The 26,982-nt window shown below is 35.0% G+C and overlaps 1 protein-coding gene and 1 long non-coding RNA gene across 13 annotated transcripts in view, besides 2 other annotated features; both read right to left on the bottom strand.

Moving 5' to 3' along the window:
* The window catches only part of GALC (galactosylceramidase), a 60,654-nt gene that overhangs the window by 29,563 nt on the left and 4,109 nt on the right, over positions 1–26,982 (bottom strand). For 7 of the 12 annotated variants that reach the window (NR_187582.1, NM_001201402.2, NM_000153.4 and 4 more), the window contains 9 exons: positions 25,879–25,947; positions 25,568–25,631; positions 23,913–24,026; positions 21,818–21,957; positions 19,629–19,667; positions 13,782–13,912; positions 5,759–5,914; positions 2,929–3,053; positions 808–935 (listed from right to left, as the gene is read on the bottom strand). Coding sequence is in view for 11 of the 12 variants with exons in the window: in NM_001201402.2 (NP_001188331.1) it covers positions 808–935; positions 2,929–3,053; positions 5,759–5,914; positions 13,782–13,912; positions 19,629–19,667; positions 21,818–21,957; positions 23,913–24,026; positions 25,568–25,631; positions 25,879–25,947 (966 nt within the window). In the remaining variant the exon portion in view is untranslated. Of the gene's footprint in view, positions 1–807; positions 936–2,928; positions 3,054–5,758; positions 5,915–13,781; positions 13,913–18,837; positions 18,872–19,628; positions 19,668–21,817; positions 21,958–23,912; positions 24,027–24,392; positions 24,497–25,567; positions 25,632–25,878; positions 25,948–26,982 lie in introns of those variants that run through there. The other 5 variants (NM_001424076.1, NM_001424077.1, NM_001424075.1 and 2 more) reach the window with 4 other exon arrangements.
* LOC124903355 (uncharacterized) lies at positions 1,312–2,922 on the bottom strand. The gene is made up of 2 exons (XR_007064295.1): positions 1,628–2,922; positions 1,312–1,567 (listed from the first exon to the last, which is right to left on the bottom strand). It is a non-coding gene; the product is annotated as an uncharacterized LOC124903355 (long non-coding RNA).
* Positions 13,577–13,746: an enhancer, noted in NCBI's record as "experimental_38584 CRE fragment used in MPRA reporter constructs". NCBI's record gives its function as "activates a minimal promoter by MPRAs in K562 erythroleukemia cells, with activity observed for both the introgressed and non-introgressed 14:88442582 variant alleles {active_cell/tissue: K562}" and the evidence as "EXISTENCE:reporter gene assay evidence [ECO:0000049][PMID:34662402]".
* Positions 14,731–14,900: an enhancer, noted in NCBI's record as "experimental_38590 CRE fragment used in MPRA reporter constructs". NCBI's record gives its function as "activates a minimal promoter by MPRAs in K562 erythroleukemia cells, with activity observed for both the introgressed and non-introgressed 14:88443736 variant alleles {active_cell/tissue: K562}" and the evidence as "EXISTENCE:reporter gene assay evidence [ECO:0000049][PMID:34662402]".

Raw genomic sequence — 26,982 nt, forward strand, 5'->3', positions numbered from 1 at the left:
ATACACACACACACACACACACACACACACACACACACACACACACACCATTTTTTTAAGGCTACTCTGTTCTCTGTTTTGGATCTTGCTTCTCCCATGGGAACTTAGTTGCTAGAAATCCTTCTTCACAAAGCCCTGCTGACTATATGCACTTCCTATTCTGTCTACCTCCTTCTTGTTGGAACTTCATTGACCTCTTTGGGAAGCTTGAGATCTCCCCACACTGGCACCTCTCAGACTTCTTCTTCTCTCCACTGGCTTCTGCTTCTGCTTCCATGTTTTTTCACCTTCATTCTTTCATTCAGTTCCCTTGAATCCTTGATATGTCTGCTTTCAAGCCCCTACCTCCTCCCATGCCTCTGTCCACCTGTCAGACCTATTCCCTTCCTACTCAAGCCCCTCAATCACTTGAATTTTAAGCTCGTTGCTCTCAACAGACTTAAGGTCTCCCCAAAACAACCTGAGGATGAAAAAGGAAAAAGCCACAGCCTCCATATACATATCAGGGCAAGGGAAGGTCGTGAAGGTCGTCTCCACAAATATTGGTACACAGGTAACCTTAATTTTATCCCAACTGCCAGGAACAAAGTGGAGAAAAGATGAGAGCCAACTATTTTGTACAAATCAGTGAGTTGTGTGCTATGTTTTACGACTCATGGCTAAAATTTTTTAAATGAAAGCCATAAGATCTTGGCATCTGTCTGTATGCTTATGTATTTACATGTAAAACAAAAGTATTCAGTTTTATATTTTATTTTTCCAATAGTAAAGAAGTGAGTTAATCCAATAGCAACAACAAAAGTTTACCATGGTTTCAATGATGATGGTGAGGTTCCCTAAGCCATCAGTCAGAGCTACGTAGCTTCCTCCTTTCTCTAAATGGCCAACTGTCTTCAGGTAATACCAGCCAGGTTGAGTAAACTGAGTGGTATGAGCTATAGAAAAACAGAAAGTTCCAAATAAGACAAAAATGGTAATAATAGTATTTCTTTTGGGAAAAAAAAAAAGCTGTATATCAATTTGAGTCTGATTCATCCAAACAAGCTATTTTCTATTTTGCAGGAATATATCCGTCAACCTCATGTTTAAATTTTTAAATAATTAATCTAGATAAATGGTACAATTGCAAGAAGATTCCTGGAATGATGGGTAAAAATAAATGAACCTGTCAGTTCAAGAATATGATCAGTCTTTTTTTTAAGAATAAAATAGTTATTCCCCCCCCAAACTTGGTTCATCACTATTTAATCCATCCTAAAATAGCTACCAAAAAAAGGTTTAAAAAGTTAATAATGAATTTCAGAAACTAACTTTATGGTTTCAAACATATTTATTTCCACCACATGTACATTTATTGGTCACCTCCTAAGCTCGTCCTGAAAATGCACTAAGCAATATACCATGTCCCAACCCTTGGAAAAATCACAAAATTAAGAGTACATTAGTTCATCTAGATAATGTGGGGCCAACAATTTCAACATTCAAGGCGCTGATATACAAGTCTAACCTTAATTTTCTCATATAATTCTCAATATTAGAATATACAAGTCCAATATACAAGTCTAACCTTAGTTTTCTCATATAATTCTCAATATTAGAATATACAAGTCCAATATACAAGTCTAACCTTAATTTTCTTATATTTTTTGGAGGACAATTTAAGGAGTTTAGAATAATATCATGATTACATGATTAATATGATTACAAATCTGTCTTAGGAGAGCACAACTAAAAGGGAAAACCACCAAATTTAAGTTTAAAATAAAAACAAATTCACTCCAAATTCATAATTTTCTTCTGAAAGCATTTTACCTTTAAAGAAATTAGCTTTTTAGAAAGATTGTTAGAATTTTAAAACAAAATGGTAATAAATGTTTATAATCTTTTACAAAAAAACTGCAGAAAAGTTTCAACATTATTCAGCAATAGATTTTGTTACTTTGTTTAAAATATAATCACTATTAGTATGGTTATTATCTCCTCATGAAAAAGTGACACTATGCCATCCATCCCTGCATAATCTCAATTTCCCTTGTGACTAATGAATGATACTGTAGTAAAACTTTTGTGTTTCAATAAAAACGGATGTATTATCTATAGCCCTGTTCATTGTCTCTGAGCTATGTAAATTATGTCTTGTCTGGTAGAAATTTAATTAATTTCTTCCCTGTTGTGGGAAACCCAATTTGCCTCCATTGACAATTCATCTCCAATTCCCTTACACTACGAAAATTTGTGCTATGTTGACTTTTCATTTCAACTGTTTCTAACATCTACCATCTATCTGCCAGGATCCTTCATATCATATGAGTAACATAAAATCTTCAGTACGTGCTCACTTTTAAAATCTTTTGAGCTTTACATTGTTACCTATTTTGAAATTTACCTTTTCACAACCCACATTTCACAGATTTAGGGGACAATATAAAGCCATATTTCACATAACTTTCATATTTACTTATTCATTTGATGATTCAATAATACAGTATTTTTAATCATCTCCCTTTGATTTTGCTAGCATACGATTGTAATTGAAACTCTATTAATATAAGAGAACAAAATGTCTTCAAAGCTAATCTTAAGACTTCTACTCTGTTTATAAATACATAATCTTATTAGCAATTATCATCATTTGTAATTATATCCTTAGATGATTATTTATTTGTGTCTCTATCACTACACAGCTCCTCCTTTTCCTCTCTCTCCCCCTCCTCTCCTACACTTTTCTAAAAGCCTGGTCTTAGAATAATCAGAGAGTAGTCTAGTTACCCAAAATATTCTTATAAAACACTGGCAAATCTTGCTTAAAACTTAAATCTATACTTAAAACACGCATAGACACACAGTTTATATAATCTTCTCTAAGTTTTTTTCTGCTTTGTCTCTTAGAGAAGAATTTAGGGAGTGAGAGATGGAACTGAACCATACCTGATACCCAGACAGGAGATTCTACCACGTAGTGCCCACTCCATGGCTCCTGGGCCGTCATCAACCCGCATCTCCCATAAGGCAACTGTTCATAGTAACTAGCCACTAAATTCCATGCGATTGTGCTAAAAGATTTGATAAAAAAGAAACACCAAGACAACTTGTGATAAAAATGTAAATGTCTAAAAACCTGGAGTAAAAAGACTTTATCATAGTAATACACATCTACATAAATGACAATAAAAGGATCACCCAAAATAAGAAAATATAAGTTGTCTAAATTTATTCACATTTTGAAAAATCCAGTGTGGGGTACATTGTAATATTTTTAATGGTGAATCACATGATAAAAAATACAAATGTATTATGTGCAAATTTTTACTGAACTGTGGTATAGCCAGAAGACGAATCATGCCTTACCAATACCCAACACATCACAAATTTGAGTCAAATACAAATAAAGGCTTTGTGCATACCTACTTTCCTTTCAACAGTCAGCCTTCTTAATGCCCCAGTTTTATGACATAATTTTTATGAACTTGACTCTGAACTGTTCCAAAGTTTTACAATTGAGAATTATTGGAGTCAGACTGCCTGGGTTTAAACCATGGTTTCACCACTTAACCTCTCTGTAAAATGAGGATAATAATTATATCTCTCTCACGTGAGTTTGTAAGGATTAAATGTACTAATGCATAGGAAGAGTATGGAACAAGGTCTGGGCCGTAGTATTGCTATTAAATATGATTCCACTTCATCTATAAGTAGTAATTGGATCTAATTGCTGATCTGCTTTGTGGCCCATTCTTTCTCAGATGATCAGGCCCTAACAGTCCAGAGCAGGTGCTAAACCCTAAAACTTTGACTCTCTGCTTCTCAGGAAATCCAAGGACAAAAGGGAAGTTATTGAACTTGGTATTGTTGGGTCCCTCACAGATTAAAAAAAACAAAGCTTACCCACAGAATTTTATTTTTCCTATCAAGTCCTCATCCAGTATAAAAAAAAGAGACTGACATTCTTAGCAAATCAAAGCCTTCTAATTCTATCAGTACAAAGTAGAAATAATAGTCCTAATTTTCAAAACACCTTACTACTAGTGAATATTTTAAGTTCTTATAATTTTGCCCATGGTTTGCAAGATGTGTGGTATCCTTTCTGGCTAGTGATAGATGTATAACTCAAGACAAGCTTTCTGGAGGGCATTTTGTAAAATACATACAAAACCCTTCAAAATCTATGTATTTCTGACCATTCCATTTCTAAGAATACAGCCTAAGAAAATAGTCATGGGCATATACAAAGATATTTGTATACAATTGAACATTTCAGTTTGTACAAAGCTATTAATTAAAACAGAGACAACTTCCAATTCTAAAAGAGGAGAATATTCAATAAACAATAATATATTTTCCACATCAGTGTTTCCCAACTTGTGTGGCATCAGAATCACTTGAGGGCACTGACTAGATGGACAGAATACCAGGAGCCTTCCCTGTAGATTCTGATTCACAATGTCTGGGCAGCTGCCAAGGAGAAGGTATAACAACGAGTGTCTCGGGTGCTTCTTAAGGCAAGTCTGGGAAATGGTGCTTTATGTAACAAAATATTTTAAAATGCATTAAAAATGATGAAGTAGAAATATAGGTAAATGTGAGAAAAAGTTCCTAATGTCGTCTCAAGTGAAAAGCAGTTTTTTAAACAGATTCTATAGTATGGTCTCAATTTTGTATTTAAAATGTATACATGCCAATATAAAACAGGAGGACATTCACTAAAAATGTTTAGGATGGTTAGCTCTGGATCATAAGACTGTAGGTGATTTTGCTTCTTTCTTTGTACCTATCTTCAGTTTTCTAAATTCTCTGCCATGAAGATGCCTTACCTTTAAGACCAAATTAAGTTATAACCAAACTCTCCTAAGTGTCTTTTCTTTCACAAAGAGAAGAAAAAGAACAAATACAATATACAGCAACCCACATTAACATCACAACAAATACATAAATATTGGTTTGTTTTTGTTCTATTTATCATTGTTTAAAAAAAGCTAATTGGAATCTATTCACAATTCAAGTGTTTTTCAAAGCATTTAAGAAATGCTTCCCTTAGGAACAAAAATAGTTGTGTTCTCCCTTAAGAACATCTGTTTTTTAAACAAACAATTACACATATCAAGTGATGCCATGAGGAATCAATCAGACAGGCTGGGAAGCAGACAGTCCACAACACAACCAGCCTGGTCTTTTCAACAGATCACTGTCATCAAAAATGAGGAATAAGGAAACCACTCTAGATTAAAGGAGACTTGAGGGGTGTAACTTTTAAATGCAATATGTGTGTGCTTGACTATTCCTTTTCTTTAAAAAAGCTACAAATGACATTTTTGGGAAACAATTAGGAAAATCTGAATATAGACTGAGAATTAAAAACACTCTCATGTATGAAAACATGATACTGTGATCATGTAAAAGAATATCCTTATGTTTTGGAGACACATGCTAAAATATTTAGAGATAAAGTGTCCTTACATATACTATTTACTTTATAATTATTAAAAATACAAGTAGCTTGTCAAAAATCAGAGAGCTGCATGTATTTTGCTACATATAAATTATACCTCAATAAACCTGACTTTATTTAATATAGACTATATTCAAATATAGAAAATTAGATATAGATTAGGTATAGGTATACAAATAGATGACGCTAACAAGGCAAAATGTTTACAATCATTGAATCTAGGCTGGAAGAATAAGGAATTCCATTTTTTTCTAACTCTTATGTTTTTAAATTTTTTTTGATAAGAACTCTAAAAGGTTTTTAATAACTTACGAAGTCATATAGCCATTGATATAATTCTGATTTAAAATGCGACCCCAGCAGCCTGCACCCATGTCACTATTTAAAGTGCTAAAGTCTTCAGAAGACCAAAGCTTCTTCCCAGTCAACTTTGCATCTTTTGCTGAATGGGTTCCAGGATAATGAGCCCTAGAAAAAAAAAGGGTGGAAGTCAATGAAAAAAGGTCACGACGTGGCACTTATATACGTATAGATTTGTTGAGTATATAAAAATACGAGTCTTCTCCAAGGTTTTCTATTTTAAAACAGTTGGGTAGCTTCCAGGTAGATAATGAATCTAAGCATCTGCTTTATGCCCTTTTGTCTCAGCATGCCATTAAAATGACAGCAAAGAAAACAAAAGGGGATAAACCTACAACAGCATACAGGATAGGAAGGAAAATCATCAATAGATAAGAAATTTCAATCTATTTCTGGAGCTCACAAGATGGATGGAAGCATGTTGAAGGATGGAGGTAGCAGAGAGGGCCACAGCCTAGAACACTCCAAGAGGAGAATGAAGTAAAGATAAGATTCAGACTTCCCAGGGGAAGCTAAGGAGCTTGGGGCAATAGTAAACGAGTGAGGAGGAGGCCAAAAATAAGACTAGTGAAACCTTTATATAAAGTAGTACTCTCCCCACTACTCCTGTCCTTAGAACACAGAAAGATAGCTTGGCATTTACTCCCAGGCCAAAAACAAAAAACAAAACCCACACATGGTTATTTCTTGAATAAAAAGAATAAGCTACCTTGGGAAAACTAAATTACTGTATCAGAGCAGTGGCGGTTCTCAACCCAGATGATTTTTGTCCCTGGAGGGAATATTTGGCACTATCTGTAGACATTTTTTTCAACCGTCCCACCTGGGGTCAGGGATATTTGCTACTAGCATCTAGAGAAGAGAGGCCAAAAATGCTGCTAAACATCCTACAATGCACAGGACCAACCCCTACAACAAAAAAATTATCCATTGAAAATATCAATAGTGCAGCAGGTGAGAAACTGCCCCAGAAAATGAATGCCTCCTTCACTCTATCATTCGATGGGAGGGGAGTCAGTTGGTGGAAGTATAAATGCATATTCATTACTGCAAGAGTAAAATACTCCCATAATGATGATTGTGGAAGACACTGATTATAGGAATAAAAACAATAAATTTTAAATGTAAAATAGAAAATAGATTGACAATCCAATAAGAGAGCACACTAGCTAAATAACTGTAGGAATAAGAGCATCTACTTTTTAGTTTAAAAATTATTTACAAAAAACAATGCAAGCAAAATAATGGAGATTAAGTTATATCATAATTCTAATCTTTGTAGTTTGGTGTAGTAGTATTTATAACATCAAAAGAATGATTGTGAATACTTGTTTTACTTTTTAGTTATTTAATTCCCTTTTAGGTCACAAATCTTTTAGGAAAAAATCCTATTTGGTAATTCTTTATACCTAGTGAAGATGAATTAGGGCACAATATCAATTTGGCATCCCAGGATTTCATGAGTAAGAAAATAATATACAATATATACTGGAGAACATAAAAAGAAGTATTAGAGAAAAATGAGGTTCCACTAAGATTTTACTGAGTCACTAAACTCAGGTGAAAGCAGGCATCTATTCAATATTGCAAATCTACACTACAAAGATACCAACAGAAATCTAGCATCTAACAGGGTTAAGCAATCATTGTTCTGGAACTATAACGCCCAACCTGAAAAATCTGGCTACTAGTCTTTTAAATAATATAAATTCAAAAAATTACACTTTAGATTTATTCTTCTATCCCACAACTCCATTCTATTTCCATGAAATTCAGCTTTGGTACCTCAGCCAAATGTTAATTTTTAATACTCATCTAGTTGTCATCCAGTTGTCTAGTTGCCAAATGCATGTTTGGTGTATTTGGTTAAAATATATTTCTATATTAAAGAAAACACTGTAAAGTAATATGCTAGCATGTTACCAATAATCAGTAGATGTTAGGATTATGAGGAAATTCTATTTTTATACTTTTCTACATTTTCCAAATTTTCTATAATGAGCATATTATATTTATAAAATGAAAAAGTAACTTTATTGAAGTTATAGGAATAGGTGATATATCCTTCATTCAGAAAATGATGAAACTGTTACCACATTCAAAACCCAAATGATTTATTACATGATATGAGCAAAGAAAGGCAGAACTAATACTAAAATCTGGGTCTTTCTTAATGTATAGATTTATTACTAGTGCAACAAAATGTAAAGGCTCTTTAAGAATATAAATTTTTATTGGGAGGCCAAGGCGGGCGGATCACGAGGTCAGGAGATTGAGACCATCCTGGCTAACATGGTGAAACCCTGTCTCTACTAAAAATACAAAAAAAAAAAAAAATTAGCCAGGCGTGGAGGTGTGTGCCTGTAGTCCCAGCTACTTGGGAGGCTGAGGCAGGAGAATGGCATGAACCTGGGAGGCAAAGCTTGCAGTGAGCCGAGATTGCGCCACTGCACTCCAGCCTGGGCGACAGAGGACAGAGTGAGACTCTGTCTCAAAAAAAAAAAAAAAAAAAAAGAATATAAATTTTTAATGTATATAAGTAGGCAAACATTCTCTATCACTTCACAGCATTATTTTTCAAACTTCAATAACAGACAAAATTAAGATCAATGAAAGTAAACCAACTTTATAGTTTATCCTAACAGAGGAACATATTTGTACTTTAAAAAATTAGAATTTCTGGCCAAGGCAGAACATGACAGCAGCCCAGTTTCTGAAGCTCCTCAGTACTCCTCCTGAAACCAAACTGACCAACCAGATAAGGGAAAGGAAAAACTCACAGATAACACTGCCATCAAACCAGGTGACAGGGACTCTCCCCAGGAGCCTCGCAGCATCAGAAATGGCCCAGGATCAGCAGATGGTATATGGAAACTAGAAGTGAAAGGGGACTGGCCGGTACTCACACAAAAGGAGTAGACCCTACCCTAAGGGGGAGCATAGAAGACCAACTCAGGAAGATGGGAACATCTTCACAGGCTTGAAGTTAGGGGTCAATGCTCAAAACAGTGAATTCATTAGGAGATCAAACCCAATACTGTAACAGTTCAAACCAGATCTGTCTGGTAGAAATATGATATGAACCACACATAGACAATTTTAAGTTGTCTAGCAGCCACATTAAAAACCAGCAAAGGTCTTTACCACAATAAAACACATAAATGGAAAAAATTTAATTGAATTTACAAAGCAGAAAAACATGGAGAACATAATTTTAATGATATATTTAACCCAATATATCCAAAATATTATCACTTAACATGTAATCAGTGTAAAACAATTGTAAATAATATTTTTATATTCAATTTTCAAAACCCAGTGTATATTTTATACTTATTACACACCTAAACTCAAACTAGCCACATTTCAAGTGCTTCCTAAACATATGTGTCTAGTGGCTACTGTATTGAACAATACAGGTTTAAGCAATAACAATTTCAGGAGAAGGTAGCAAATAATCAGGAATGGTAGAGCTTCAACATGAAAATAAGCTGTTTGAAGTAGAATCCAAGTTGAATAAGGCAGGAACGCTTTGTTTGAGGGAGAACAACTTTCAGTCACTAAGAAGAATGGGGCCCAGCAGAAACAGACCCTAGAAAGTACTGTAACTGTAAAACAAAAATCTGCAGATATAGCACAGGCCAAGCACAACATGAATGAGGCAGGGAGGAATAGTCTTCCTATGAAGATGTGAGCCAAGAAATATCTCCTGAACAAAATTGCAATAGCCCAAAATTGGAAACAGTCTAAATGACCATTAAAAAATAATACACAGATAAGTTGTGGTATGCTACATTTAGCATCCAACAATTGGATGCTAAACAATAAATATGAACTACCTCTATATATAACAACATGCATTAATCTCACAAATTTATATAATATTGGCTGAAATAACAGCTACTATAGGATGCCATTTAAATAAAGTTTTTAAACCGGCAAAATTAGTCCATGGTGTCAGAGGTCAGATTAGTAGTTACCTTTAAGGCAAAAAGAGAGCTTAATTATTGGAAAGATTTCCAAGGAAAAATCTTTCCAAGAGGAGATATCAGTAACCAAGCTTCTTGGGCACTGATAATTTTCTGGGTGGCTGTTACATAGGTACGTTCACTTTGTGATAATTCATTAAGCTATTATCCGATGATTTTTGTACTTTTATATATGTATGTATGTATGCTGTACTTCAATTAAAAATTTTAAAGATGAATTGTTAGCAATATAGGAAATTAAAATGAGAGAATTATAGAAGAATTATTTTCAAAAACACACTTTGGAAATGAAGGCTAAACTAGAAGGAACATAAGACAGAACAGACACTGTGGAAAACACAGTGAGGAATATAGAATAGTAAGGATAAAATAATAGAAAACATAAATAAAGAGATAGAGAAAAATTCAGAGAAATACAAAATAAAGGCATATGCAAATAAGACCAAAGTATAACTGGTGCTTCTAAAAAGAAAACCAAAGTAATGGAGTGGAATAATGATTTAACTTATAACTTAAGTAAACCTTACTGAAATAAGAAAATACTTAAATATAGACATTAAGAGAGCATATACTATATATCTGGAAATGGTAAAGTGTATACAACAACTAAACTTTAAAGATGAATAAAAATATTCTTTGGGCATAAAGGAATTGTGTCGTTACTTATAAGGAAAAGGAAATATCTCTGGAGTCAAAATTCTCAATAGCAACATTTTATGTAAATAACTAATGGAGCAAATTTTATGATATATTTACACATATTTGAGAATTAAAAAAGGATTATATCCAGTCAAACTGTCCTTCAAGTATAAAGGTCATAGATAAACATCAACAAACATCTGAACACATCAAGAAATATTGTTTCCATTAGCACTTTCTGAGACATTTAATAGATAATTACACTTCTGATATCCAAGAAAATGAGGGAGAAACTTTGGCAAAGGACTTGAAGGTGAGCATTTAATATGTTTAATGGTAGAGTGAGATTAAAAGAAATAGTAATTAAATTATATATATAACTATTACACACTTGGCTAAAGTACAACTAATACAGCTACATGAAGTAGGACAAGAAGGAAAGAAGGTGAAATGTAAACTAAGTTTGCAGATTATTTGGGAGTAAACAGTTAAAACTTGTAGCTGTCAAATCAATATAGTAGAAGCTTAAGTTCATGTAAGAGTACAAAAATTAAAACTAAGATAATTCTGGTAATTAAAATTCCACGGTAGGGGAGAAAAAGGGAGGAAGAAGTTATCAAATAATTTTAGTATTGCTCATAGTAAACCAACAGACAATAACTAAACGAAGAAGAAACCAAGAGTATTAGTATGAAGCAGTTCCTCAACCTCAGCACTATTAACATTTTGGGCTGGATCATTTTTTGTTATGGGAAAACTATCCTGTGTACTAAAGGATGTTTAGAAACATTCGTGGCCTCCATCCATCGGATTCCAGTGGCACCGCCCTACCTATTTGTGGCAATTAAAAATATTTCCAGGCATTGCCAAATGTCCGTCTGGGAGGCAAAATTATTCTCAGTTGAAAATACTGGTATAAATCAGTATAAATGTAATTGACAGAACAAAAACCAAACCTTGCTAAATAACAAAAGAAACACCTCCTTAAATAAGTGCAAAGTAAACAAATCACATAGCAGAATAGCTTGTATTAGTACATGGATAGTATAAATCATTCAATAACAAAAGACAATATAGTAGTATAGAAAACACAAACATCAGTTATATTTAAAAATGAGTTTAACTCATTCATTAAAATATAAAGATTTTCAGAGGAACTTTAAAAAAGCAAAATCTAACTCTATGCTATATGCAAGCAATGCACATAAAAGAAAACGGCCTTGAAAGGTAAAGAATAAAAGGGCAAAAATATATTAGGCAAATCCTAATGAAAAGAAAGCATAGATCTCTTAGTTACACAGAAAGCAGAACTCAGGCCAAGAAGCTTTAAACGAGACAAAGAATGGCATTTTCTAATGATAAGAAATAAATCATAATGAAGATAAAACATTCATCAGTATTTACATACCAAATAACAAAGCAGAAGCTTCCAGTATTTACGTACCAAATAACAAAGCAGAAGCTTCCACACAGCAAAAACTGCCTAAGATTGAAAGGAGAAATAGACCCCACTAACATAAGGAAACAAACACACCTGGGTAGCCCTGAACAGTTCAAGTGGACAAAATCGTTAAGATACAAAATACCTGAACAATATAACCAAAAGGTTATATATAAACTCAATTCTGTATCCTAATAAAGAATACATCTTAATAAATCAAAATATGCTCTTGAGATAGTCAAGAAAAAAGCGAAGGTATTTTTTCAGATTTTTTTTTAATAAGCTCCTGAGAAATTTCCCAAAAAAATGTAAATAATACATTTGGTATTAAATGGCCACAGTGCAATAAAATTAGAAATTAATGATAAAACAGCCCTATGAGATAAAACTAAAGCAGTACTCAGAGGAAAATTCATTACATTAAAATACCTATATCAATAAAAAATGAAGTACATATCCAAGTCCTTCATGAAGATACAGTAAAACCCATATTTTCATGCAATATTTTTATAAGAAAATATATTTAAGATTAACACAACTTTGTTTTCCTTCAAGACTTCAACTATTTATGAAAGCTTTAACAACAGCAAAACTTTCATTTTAATTTCAATGTATAAAATGTTTAAATATAATTAAGAAATTTTATCTTGCAAAAAAAAATTAAGCCTAAATCTAACCTAACCTAAATCTAACCTAAACTACCAATTTCAAAAACCATTGAAAAAGGATAGATGAGCAAGTTATATTAAACTGTAGGGGTTGAAATCAGTAAAATCCAGACTGACACAAAGTTTGTAAGACAAACAACCCCGTTCTTCAACAAATTAAAAGAAAGAAAAAGAGCAAGAACATAAAGATTAGAATAGATTTAAATATCAACCAATCACCATGCATGAATTTTAAATGGATCTAGATTCAATCAAATAAAACTATAAGATAATAATGGATATTTAATATCAAAAACTATTACATTTTAGGTATAATAATGGTATTGTTTATGGTAAGTAGAAAAATAATCCTTATCTTTGGAGACACATACACAGTAATATTTTTATGGAAGAAATAATGTCTGGGATTTCTTTCAAAGTAATGTAGGCAGGAAAGGAAGAGGAGTAGATAGACGCATGGATGAAGAATTGGTCATGGATTCACAGTTCAAGAGGTTGAGTGATAAGAACATAGATATTCATTGTATTATTCTGCCTATTTTTGTGTACATTCAAAATTCTTCATTAAAAAAATAAAGCACATGGAGAGATCAATCAGTCTTCACACTGGATAAAGAACAAATTCTACACACATACATACACACACACACACACACAAACATACATATCCTATTTTTCAAATGTTTATATCCTGAGTCATGGTAGAAAAAATGTAAATTCACTTTTTAAAAAAAATGAACCCAATGAGGTCAGGGCCCAGAGTGCTAAAAGGCAGAAATGGAATAAAGAGTAGGCATCAAAACTATACTACTAAGGAGGCATGACAAAAGTTATTGTCAGTGATCACAATGAACCATTTACAAAAGTGTTCATGCAAGAACTTCCAACCACAGAATATCTGAGAGTTTGAAACTAATTTCACAACTTTGCCTTTATAATTTCTAAAATTAAATACAGGTATTACTCTGCCCCTTAATCTAAAACAAAGCCCTGTTTTATTATTCCAAACATCAACATGCTTTTTAAAAGCTATCAATACTTGTTTGTCATAGAAAGATCCTAAAATATATTTAAAAGAGAAAATAATGAACTATGAGCCATGCATGCTTCAGGTAAGTGAATACAGGAGAGCTACCTTCTGAGAATGTAATCAAATGGGGAGAAGGCAAGAAAAAGATAGTCAATACACAGAGCAAGCAATCAGAAACTGCTAGTTTTCCAAGTAAAACATGCCTTACCCTATAACATCAACCACCTTGAAGAGTTCGGCATCAAGGAGCATGGATGCAGAGATGGACTCCCAGAGATTATCACTTGCTATGATTTTCACTCGCTGGAGACCTTGATAATTCAGCATTTTTCTTAATATCTTTTGGAGTAAGAAACAGAACATATGAAAGGATACAAATGAATTTTTAGCTGTTGAATTTATGACCAAGATAGATAAAGTTATCTTTACAAATCAGCGTTCTGGATAATAGCTTCTTTTGTTTGTTTGTTTGTTTGTTTTTCTCAGACAGAGGCTTCTCTCGTCGCCCAGGCTGGAGTGCAGTGGCAGGATCTCAGCTCACTGCAACCTCTGCCTCCAGGGCTCAAATGATTCTCCTGCCTCAGCCTCCCAAGTAGCTGGGATTACAGGCACGCGCCACCACGCCTGGCTAATTTTTGTATTTTTTAGCAGAGACAGGGTTTCGCCATATTGGCCAGGCTGGTCTTGAACTCCTGACCTCATGGATGATAATTTCAATACTATATTTTCTCAATAGAAACATCCCTCCTATGGAAAATAAAAGCATTACCTTTAAGATAACCTACTTCACTAGGAATGTAAAAAGAAAAAAAAAACACAAGGGGTAAAATGTTTTAGAGGATTTTCACTTTGACTTTAAAATTACGTTTAACCATAGAAATATGGGGGGGGGGGGATGAAACAAAAATAATCAAATGGTACTACCCTGAAATAACCACCATTATTTTGCTATGCATTCTTCCAGGAAGTCTCCTATGCAGACACAATAATCAAATGGGTAACATACTAATCATACCATTTGGCAAAATGCTTTAACTTATCATTTTAAGTATTTTCCACGGTCTTCAAATATTCTGCCATTATTAAACAGGAGAGCAAATAAAATTTACCTGTAGGACTGTCCACCCACAAAAATTAAAAGTAACAAGCTAAATTTTAACAGGAAATAAACAAAGCACAAACAGTACCTACTTTACTACTCAGTACTATGCTTGGGCCCCATGAGGACTCTAAAAGAAGTATCAGAGGGAGCCCTCACCCTTAGGTGGCAAACACACTCAACAGGACACCAAAACTAACAGGGCATACTAGAAAATCAAAGGGCAAGTACATACCAAAATGTATGGATTGCCTATATGCAAATCAAGAGCAGAGAAAAGGAGACATCATTTTACTCAGGATCAGGAAGATCAGATTTCATACCACAAGCAGTTCTTGATGAATGGATACAAATAAGCCCACTACTATAGCCCCCAAGGACTCGGAAATCTCTGGCACATAGCAGCAGATGCTCAATACTACTGGTTGAAGAAATTAAGAAAGAACAAAGAATTTCACAAGCTCTCTCTTCACATTCCAACTTCTCTGAACTAGGGCAATTTCCAATTAATGTGCTCTTTTAGGACGCAAATAATAAAAGCTCCAATTAAATCCATGGTATACTTTTCAACAGACAGTTTCTTAAAATAGATATATTATAGGATTTTAGAAAACGGGGTGAAAATTAGAGGTGGCAGTCTAAGTTCATCTTTCAAACTGGATCAGTTGAGTTCTAGGACACCCTAGAAGTCTACAGCATGAACAGATCCTTTGTAGCAAACCGAGACCAACTCTCAAGATTCAGTAGGATTGAGAACCCCTATCCCTCTAGCAGGAGGATCAATCCTGAATTTCATCACCCTGAAGTTCTTCCTTTTCTTTGAGACGGAGTTTCGCTCTTGTTGCCCAGGCTGGGGTGTAATGGCATGATATCGGCTCACTGCAACCTCTGCCTCCCAGGATCAGCAATTCTCCTGCCTCAGCCTCTCAAGTAGCTGGGATTACAGGCATGTGGCACCATGCCTGGCTAATTTTATATTTTTAGTAGAGACAGGGTTTCTCCATGTTGGTCAGGCTGATCTCGAACTCCTGACCTCAGGTGGTCCGCCACTTTGGCTTCCCAAAGTGCTGGGATTACAGGCGTGAGCCACTCCACCCGGCCTCTTTATTCTTACAGAGAAGAGGAAGAGCAACTTAGTCAAATTTGCATTTTTCACTACGGATGGATCTAGTCTTTCTAGTCCTAGTCCTAGAAAATCCCAGTAAGACTGCTTACTTTTTTATACATTGTATTTGAATAACATTCCAAAATTTACAAGTCTACATGCTATGATTTCTAAATAAGTTTCCATCCATAAGTCATTACGAACAGCATTCTTTTGAGCAGTTTTATCTAACATATTTTCAGATTATGTTTTTGTTTTGGAACTTTCTCATCCAGAAAAAGCTTAAATAGAAGCTCTATTTATAAGACAAATGGAAATGAACTTGTTCTGGTTGAAGTGAATGAAGGTCCAAAGACCCAGGCACTTCCATTTCCATCCACTATCCTCAGATCCTAGATGAGATTTTCCAGACACAATTTAGAAAACTTAAGAACACCACTGAAAACCACGATAAATCTTACATATCAGTAGCAAAAAAAAAAAAAAACTTCAAAGAAACAATACCCTTGTCATCTTTATATAAATTGCTCCTTTGTATTATATTTATTTCTACTATTAAAAACAAATCCTTATTCTTTCCAGGGGTCATCTTATTATCCCATAAAGAATATACATTCATTAAGGTTATCCAATCTGAGCACCTACATTCGTCATTATTGAACTCTTTGTGATAGGCATTTCTTTTTTTTTCTTTTCTTTTCTTTTGAGACAGAGTCTCGCTCTTTTTGCCCAGGCTGGAGTGCTCACTGAAACCTCTGCCTCCCAGGTTCAAGCAATTTTTCTGCCTCAGCCTCCCAAGTAGATGGGATTACAGGCGTCTGCCACCATGCCCGGCTAATTTTTTTGTATTTTTAGTAGAGATGGGGTTTCACCATGTTGGTCTGGCTGGTCTCAAACTCCTGACCTCAGGTGATCCACCTGCCTCAGCCTCCCAAAGTGCTGGGATTACAGGCACGAGCCACTGAGCCTGGCCTGCAACAGGCATTTCAACAAACGGAACACAGATCCCAATAAAATCTTGCTGGAAAAAAATGGCAAACACAAAGTAAAAAGTTTTTGTATCCTGAGAGATTTTACTGCAAGAAAACTCAAGGTTCAAAAAAAAGGAAATGAAGTCTGAACTGTCTGAAACACTGAAAATATGTCTTAGAGCAACAATTAGTCTTTCAAACCAGGTTAGTTGAATTAGAATGCACTGGAGTCAGCAACAGACTCTTAATAGTAAAAAAGTTCAAATAACATAAAATATAGCCCTGTCTTATTTCATTAGTTTAAAAGAAAATGGAAACCGTAATACTTTTAATGTTTCCCTCAAATGAAATGACCACAAGAGAGACATGTGTACAATCACAAGAAAATAAAACTTAAGCTTTGAAATGTCAAATTTGGGTATTTAAAAAGTTCATCACCTTTCACTATGAAGATGCTGTAGCAACACCATCTACCTCATTACAGAGTTATCCAGTATACATGCACCAACTTGGCTTCTGCTCTGTCCCCTTACTGCTCTTATCAGACCTGTGCTCACAGCAGGCATGACTTTCCACTTACAATCCCTGTGCTCCAATCTTATTAATAGCTCCACTGCCCCACCTCCCCCACCCAATCTGCTCCCACCACCACACTCCCATCAGCATACTTCAACCTGGAATTGCCCTTGAGTACCTAGCTCTGGCTGCAATAGATCTTCTCAATCTATGCCTTCTCCACGCCTACAACTACAGATTAATTAAAATATGCCATTATTGGCTGGGCGCAGTGGCTCATGCCTGTAATCCCAGCACTTTGGGAGGCCGAGGCGGGCGGATCACAAGGTCAAGAATTCAAGACCAGCCTGGCCAAGATGGTGAATCCCCGTCTCTACTAAAAATACAAAAAAATTAGCCGGGCGTGGTGGTGGGCACCTGTAATCCCAGCTACTCAGGAGGCTGAGGCAGAGAATTGCTTAAATCCGGGAGGCAGAGGTTGCAGTGAGCCAAGATGGCGCCATTGCACTCCAGCCTGGGTGACAGAGAGAGACTCTGTCAAAAAAAAAAAAAAAGCCATTATTCCAGTGAATACATTAGCTTACTGATGGGGGTCAGTGCCCCCACTCTTCCTCCATTGTCTAATCCATCTTTCATGACTTGTTTTTCCCCCATATCCCTTTACCTCTCAATCTTCAGTTCTTTGCACATGATATGCCCCTGCCTTAGCAAAGTGGAGAGTTCCTATCCATCCGTTCTTGAAGATTCAAATTACACATCACCTCCTCTAAAAGACTTCCCTAATCAACCCAGGGAGAGGTGTCATCTCCTCTGTGCGCCTTTTAAGAACCCTGTAGGTGTATTATTCCATTATTTGACACATTCCAAATTATGACACATTTTAATTGTCTATATCTGACTTTATAACCACCCTCCCCAATACAAAAAATCCTTTTGGGCAGAAAACAGTATTCTCTATCCTTATATTATAACCATACACACAATGCCTGACAAACCAGTGTTGAGCAAATAAATGCTCTATGATTAACCGAATGAAGAGATGAAAGAAATGTATTGAACCTTATCTACTTAAGAACATAAAACATCCAATTCAAAGAAAATTTTTTTCTATAAACACGCATGTGCAAGTATCTTTTTTGTATAATGACTTCTTTTCCTCTGGGTAGATACCCAGTAGCAGGATTGATGGATTTGTGAAAATATGGAAATAGCCCAAAAACCCATCAATCAGTACGAGTGGATAAAGAAACTGTGGTGTATGTATACAATGGAGTACTACTCAGCCACAAAAAGGAATGCATTAATGGCATTTGCAGCAAGCTGGATGGGATTGGAGACTATTATTCTAAGTGAAGCAACTCAGGAATGGAAAACAAAACATCGTATGTTCTCACTCATAAGTGGGAGCTAAGTTACGAGGATGCAAAGGCATAAGAATGATACAATGGACTTTAGGGACTCGGGGAAAGGATGGGAAGGAGGTGAGGGATAAAAGACTACAAATTTGGTTCAGTGTATACTGCTCCAGTGATGGGTGCACCAAAATCTCACAAATAACCACTAAGGAACTTACTCATGTAACCAAATACCACCTATTCTCCAAAAACCTATGGAAATAAAAAAAAATTAATATAAAAATTTTTGAAAACTTGAAATAAAATACTGTCCCAAAATTATATTTCTTAGAGAAAAGATACATACAAGAAGACAAAAGGAAGTGAAAAGTAAACTAAAGATTAGCTCCACCTGAAAAGTGAAACTGCCATTTTTTTTCCAATGGCAGAAGTTATTATTCTGTTTTTCCTTTCCTGGAAAATAGCAATTACAGTAGTTACCTCATAGGTAAGGTTGTGAGAATTAAATGGAGATAAATAGGAAAAGTGGAACAAAAATAACACAATTGGCAGATGTTACTGCTACCTCTTTGCTAATCACAAAGAGAAACATGTACTATAACACACTCCAATAGAAAACAAGAATTAGAATATATGCCATAAGTTTTGACAAAAGACAAAGAAAAAAAGCTACATTTCTTGAAGTTCTAAAAATCTAAAATGATATAATTGTTTCATAAAATTTATCAGAATTCCAAAACTAATGAATTTTAAAATAGAAAAATTCAACACAACTCTTTAGACAAAGGTAATTCGGGGCTCACAAAGAATTACATATGCTTTAATATCAGGAATATAAACATTGTTAAGATTTTGCTTGAATTTTATGTCACAACCAGCAAAATAAATAACTGTAGTATAAAAAATACGGTATTTCCAACACAAATTTCCTACTATTTTCTGTGTTAGGAACCATAAGGAATTATTCACTAAAAAGTTAAAAACAAAAAGATACTAAAGTTGTACACACCTTAATATAATTGGCATTATATGACCTCTCATTCCAAATCTGCAAAACAAAAAGTCAAAAAAGTCTGAATTGAAAGTTACAAAATGTCAGAAAGCAGATTATCGTTACGATACCATTTCTCTCATCATCTTTCATATTATCTGATACGCCATTTTTTAACTTTATGGGATATCCTGCCATAGAATTTATAGATAGTTATAAGATAGCACAACTTTTTAAAAATTAAAATATTATTTTTAAAAACCTTAAAATATTTAGTGGGTATTTTTCAAAAAGTAATTTATTCCAAAGATTTTCAACAATGGAATATTCATTAATTCATTCAACACATACTGACAGTACAATGTGTGCCAGAAACTATACTAGGCATTGGAGAACTAATAGACAGGGAAACTGTTACAACAATTATGACAAGATCCCTGAAAGCCAAGTATTAATATGTATACTGTATAGAAGGCATATTTTTAAGCATACACAGAGAATCACAGTAATACACTAGTCACAAAAGCAACTCTGAATGAGGATGGATAAAAGGAACATATATACATCTATTAGGTTTAGAGTCATGAAGCATGGGGTTTTAGAATTGAAAGAACTTCCATAACTCCACAGTTGAGAAAACTGTTAATAACAAGAGACGATTCTAGAATCCAGGTGCAGGTCTTTTTACTCCAATGATACAGGAAAGAGTTTATCAATGAACCTCCTCATCATAGCATTTGTTATCATGAGTCTAAACAAGATGTGAATCACCCATTACTTGTGACTGTACCATAAGAGAAAGCTATTAGACCAAACCTACATTTAGTCTCACTACAGGTTATAAATGTCCTGACATTTAAGAAAGTTCTCCGGCCAGGCGTGGTGGCTCATTCCTGTAATCCCAGCACTTTGGGAGGCCGAGGCGGGCGGATCACGAGGTCAGGAGTTTGAGACCAGCCTGGCCAACATAGTGAAACCCCGTCTCTAATAAAAAGAAAAAAAAACTAGCTGGGTGTGGTGGCGGGTGCCTGTAATCCCAGCTACTTGAGGCAGGAGAATCACTTGAACCCAGGAGGCAGAGGTTGCAGTGAGCCAAGATCACAACACTGCACTCCAATCCGGGTGACAGTGTAAAAAAAAAAGGAAAGTTCTCAAATATAAACTAATTTTTCAGTCATAATTTGGAAAAGGATAGCAAAAACTAGTATATTCTTTCTTCTGACTTCCTCCAGCCCTTGGCTCATCCTCATGCCCTGTATCATCATGTAGTATTACAGTTTATATGTTCCAGCATCTACTTCTCTTACTGAACACAAGAGCTTATTAATCTTAGTAGCCCTCAAATATTACAGTCACAGTTCCTGCAACACAGTAGGAACTCAATAATTGTTTGCTGATAATCTAAGTCATGATTGCATGAAAATGTTTAAGTATTAGTTTTAACTGATGGTATATTAATAAGCAAATGATTATGGAGACCCACTATGTGTGTGTTAAGGCCCTGTGGGGTACGATGCAGCCTGGGGCATGCCTCCACCCAGCCAAGAGACAAGCTGGACATGATATCATTTTTCATACTTTTCAAATCCTTAAAAGGTGTTAACTAACAGTTTGTGACAGGTGAACGCAGATTTCAGCCAGCCTGCCAAATCTGGCCCATCATCTGTAATTTTACAACTTGAGAGCTAAAAGTGTTTTTAGTTTTAAATAGTTACATTTTAAATGGCTATATATTTACCTCAAGATCCTCAATATTGCCTTTTGGCCCACAAACCCAAAACTATTTATGCTCTGGCCCTTTAATAAAAAGTTTGCCAATCTTTGGCTTAAGACAACAAGAGGATAAAATGAGACTAACCCCCCATAAGCTGTATAGGAAACACAACACTGTTGTAGGAACCAGAGAAAGCAGGGAAAGCTTTGAAGGAGAATTTGAGTTGGGTTGATACAAAAAAAAAAAAAAAAAACCCAGCTCAGAGGAAGGAGGTATACACTCAACACAGTTTTCAAAAGTGGGAACACTGGGATGGGCAAAGGGGAGCAATTAAAGGTCACAGGTACTTAGTTTGTGTTATTATCAGACACCATTAGAACAAATTAGCCTCATGGCATAAAATGGTTAGTCAAAAAGTACCACAGAATCAAATTATTTTCTAAATTACAAACAAATGTCCAAAACTGAATCATATTTTAAATATATTACTAACTCCAATATAATCAATGTCCAAATCATGGTAACGCTTGGCGCCCACAATCCAGGTCACGACATAATAGGCAGTCAGCTGAAGATTGACATAAGGCCAGTCGAAACCTTTTCCCAGCCATCCAGGGAATGACCATGGCAACCCTGCAGAGAGAAGGGAGGAGGCAAAGGTAGAGGAGGTATAACGGTGCTGGCGCTATTGAAAATAAAACAAATTTTTTTTAAGAAAAGCATTCAACTAGCAAAAAACCAATACAGATCTGACTAAAGGAAAGTTTATATACCATATAAAAATTATTGAAATCCTTTCCAATCTATAGACACTATAATTCCTTATTGATCCCTAGAGTCAGGTCCCATAATTTCAAATGTTCTTTCCAAGAAGAAGAAAAATAACAAATACAAACACCTCTCTCCAAGACCCTTACCAATAGAAAGAAATGTACCATATGTTTTAACTTAACATGTCCACTCACTGTTGGAATGTTCAATATTCAACTTCTGTTCTTTGAGGTCAAATCAAAGAATTCTAAAAGGCTTATGCCAAACTACTCTTGAGTTATGTATAACACAAATTTATCATTCAATTGTACATCTTCTTACAATTTAGGGTCCTTAAAATATTAATCAGTCAGGCAATCTAATTTAGCAAAACTAGTTTGTTCTTATATCACTATAAATGACAATGACTCCATAGAGAAATATACCCTTGTTAAGTGATACACATCAAATAAGTCCATATTCTTCCAATAATCCTGATTATGTTTAAGTAAAAAAATAAGAAGAGTAGAAAAGTACTTATTATAATTCTAAATTTAACTTGCTACTAATATATTAAAATAGGCTCAATAGTTAAGTTCCTCAGCAATAAATATATTACCAAACTAGTTCACCACTGAAAAAAATAAAAATCAAAATGACAAAATGCTTATTTTCTAAACTCAGGAGGAACACCCAAGTGTATTACATAAGAAATGTGACATTAAAGTAATAGAATTCTTGAAAACAATGAAATGCTAAATGCAATCTGAAGGCCTACCAAGTCTTTGTTAGGACATGGTTTAGCATGCCATATTTTCTACATTTAAATGAGGTCTGACCTTGGAAGCAGTCTAGTGGATATGTGCTGAATTCAGTGATGCTTTTACTGCTCACAGCATTTCTGGAATCTCTTACAAAAGCCCATTTATAAAGAACATACTTACTCCTAATTTCTTTTAACTTAGAAAATATTACTTTTCATTAACCTGATTGTTGAGAAAATTATTTTTTAAATAACTAGAAATCAGGTCTTTAAAATGAATCATTAATTTCATTTAACTTAGTTTGAATTTAAGCCTGTTTCAAAAAATCAAATTCATTTCAAATGATGAAAGTATCCCATCACTCTTGATGTTTGAAATACTTCACAAGCTCTGTACACATTCTCACAGAACTGTGAAATGTACATAGTCCCATTTAAGCAACTAGCCAATGATCCTCCCAATAGAACCTAAGCCCCACAGGTGCAGGAATTGGGGACGGGATTGGCTTCCTGAGTCCCAGAACAGTAACCAGCACATTATTGAAGTTCAAAAACTAACTAATAAACAAAAAACACTTTTGTATGTACCTTTTCTAAAAATAGGGTTCACTACTACATGCAATATACAATTTTGTAACTAGTTAGGTGTACTACTGCATGTAATATACATTTTTGTGAACAGTGTTACCCTTTTATAAATACTGATGACAGATCTTGTGAAGGAAAGTAGTTTAGCATCATAGGAAACATGGAATTAGGTGCTAACACCGATTTTGCCATTTACTAACTGTCTATGACCTTAGGTCAGTGGCATAATCTTCCTAAGCTTCTACTGCTTCTTCCTGGAAAATGGAAAGAGTCATGCCTTACTCCACAGGTATTATAAGGATTCAACATAATATACAAGGGCAAAGAAAGGATCACCCCTGGCACATGCTTTGCTGCTGGTAGCATACTGGTAGCATTAATGACATTATGAGTACTTCCGTATTAATAGAGATTCCACCAACACGATTCAGAATTTAAAAGTTAAAGGAAAAGAGACTGAAGAAACATTGCAAACTTCATTTCTTACCAATGAGTGTAATATTGGGATTCCTCTTCTTAGCTTCTTTCATCAACCACCACTCGTATCCTCGGAAATAATTCTCATCTAGTGCATAATGCATGTGGGAGGGCTCAGTGCCGTCTGAATAGAGGAGAGCAAAAACGGAAGTAATGATCCATGAATGGTACTTCCTAGGACCATCTCACTCCCCACCCCCACCCCAGACACACACTTCACAAAAGCAGTATTCCAGTTCTAATCCTGAAGTTGGGGAAATCATAATCTTACACAACTAAAGGATGGATGATAAAAGCATATCATTTCATCCTTTTTTTATTATCTTAAGCATTGTAAAAGTCTTAATAAAACCACAACCTTCTATTACAAGCAGTACTGAGAGAAATGTTATCACCTCATATAACTAAAAATTCCCAGTATTCATGCTTCTGGGCTTTTGATCTCTCTGTAGTTTTCAAATCCCCATGTCCAACTTTAAGTTCTGATTACCTCAACTTTCAGCTTTTCAACGCTGGATATGAATCCCTGGACTCGTGAGCCCTGTTCTCAGAACCCACACCTTTAGCCTATAATATGTCTTGATATAGGAAGAGTTTTGAGGAAAAAAAAAGGAATGAGTATACATATCCACTCTAAAAATAACAAAATTCTATACTAACATCTGCAGTTAGTAGAGGTTACATTGTCTTAGCACTGAGGTAGGTAATTGCTATCAAAGTCCTCGTATATTCCCACAGTTCACCAACATCTGCCCTTGCTAAGTAGGGCCTTCCGAGAGGCCCTTGCCCATTTCTTCTTAAAGGTAAACATCAGAATTCACAAGAACTGCCTGTTTATGTACCTCTACCTCTAATTTAGCTTCAGCAAGTGAAATTAGTCCATCATTGTCAATTCTGCCTAAAAGGTTTTAACAGTAAAACGCAATAGCTTGAAGAAAGTTTCTGTTATGGGGGTTTCTTTTGTTTTTGCTTTGCACTTTTTCTTCAACATAAACACTAATACCACCACATAGACATATCTGTTCAACAAAGAGTTACTTCCAAATCACTAGCAGGAATACAAGTAATACTCTAGAGTTCATTATAATGGAATCTGTTCTGTAAATAATAAGCTATATCTAATCATAGAGAGAATTTCTTTTCTTCTTCCTGGAAACAAAAGGCCTATAAACTGCCAGTTGATAACATGGACTACATAAAGCCAATCAAAATAGTGACAATGAAGACTGAAGATTTAGTGATTAAAGATAAGTTTTGTTTTTAAAAGAAAAAAAAGCTGTATCATTTTTACCACATATTTTAAGTTAATAACACTTTTTTTGTTCTATACGAAATTAAAATCTTTCTAACTGCTCAATAAAATTCAAAACTGTCCCTATGCTCTGTCCTGTATATATAGGTTTTAGAAAACTGTGGATTTGTTTACTACCGATTACTTCAACTAAATAAGCAATTTGAAGTTTGAATATTGTTTTTGATGGACCAGTCATATTCTATATAATATTTTTAAATAATTACAGTTAAAAAATGAGGAAAACTCTAATAAGCAACAATCAATCTCAAAAGTGTTGGTATTGTTTACACATATTCTGAAATCACAGTCCATATGCTGAGGTATAGATTAAAATGTTGATGGGAGAAATCCTATCTCCCAAATTCTCCTACCTGTTGTCTGCCCATCACCACCTATTTCCACTTTTAAAATATGCAAAGAGGCACCAAAATTCGGCTGTGAAAAGAAGTAACAGTATTAACATAGTGTTGTATTGTATGAAGCTTCAAGACAATTACTAATTACTGCCTTAGGTTTTACAGACGCAAAAACAAAAGCAAAACTTCAAATAGCAATTTATTCCAAAAGTAATGTGCCATTTTTTCAAAAACTAGAATTGTGAGGCTAATAAATTCTATGGTGAAATTCACCATCCAATTTCTAAAATATCACAGGTACCATGAAATAATTATGTTTTCATTACCTTAAAGAGATAATCCAATATCTGAGAACGATAGGGCTCTGGGTAATTTACTAGAAGTCGGGAGGTTGCCTAAAAAAAAAAGTTTTCAAAAGTATGAATAAAAGAAATCCAGTCATGAATATCTGTCTACAGTGTTCACGCACACCACCTGGTATACACATATTTAGCCTCAGGCAAGGTCAGGCTGAGGAAAAGTTCCTCACAAGTTGTCTGTCTGCCCTTTCTGTGCCAATCATTGGGCAAGTAGGGCTGCTGTCTGTCCGACAGCTAAAAAAGTTCTCTTCTTCTGGCATGAGGGCTAACTGGGAGGTAAGCTTGCTAACCTCATGATCACAAACTTATCTTGAAACTCAGGTTTTCTATCTTGAGACCACTTGACAACAATATCTCAGGACTAAAATGGGAGGGATGAATGTCAGGTAATTTTTCCCCTTAACATCTTCCGGAAAAACATCACAAGCAGCAATGCTGAAAGGAAGCACTACTTTCCCCATCCTCATAAATTCTACCTGTTACTATTAAGAATAACTAGCAATAATCTCCAGACCAGGCTGTACTAAGAAAACTTAACACAAGAGTGGCATCAGAATGCATGGAAAGACAAGGGTAGACAGCGCAGGGACCAATACTGGATCATGCCTGGACCACGGCATACAACTATTTGAAAAAAGAAATCACAAAACCAGTAACTGACCCATAATCTATCCTTTGGGAGGCAATATAAGCAAAAAATAAATAAAAAGAGGCCGGTTTTTGGCATGAAACAGTAGCCTCAGGCTTGTAAACCAGACAGTCCTAGGTTCAAACTGCTGACACTTTGCCAGGTGTATGTATGATGGTTGGGACAAAATACTTTTATGGGGTTCAACTTTCTATTTTATATTCTCATATATGCTACCACTGACATTCTGGTAAGTGCCCATATCTACTCTGTCACACCCAAAACATCCCCAGTCCCTACCAGTGAGGCAAACACCCATGGAGCTGCTCTCTAGCCACTCTTTCCATCTACCTCAATATATCCCAAACCAAACATAGCACTTTTGCATGTATCTGCTCCTTTTCCTGAACTTGCTGTCTCAGTAACCAACACTTGCCGAAACC

Source organism: Homo sapiens, chromosome 14 (assembly GCF_000001405.40).
Source record: "Homo sapiens chromosome 14, GRCh38.p14 Primary Assembly".
Taxonomy (NCBI): Eukaryota; Metazoa; Chordata; class Mammalia; order Primates; family Hominidae; genus Homo; species Homo sapiens.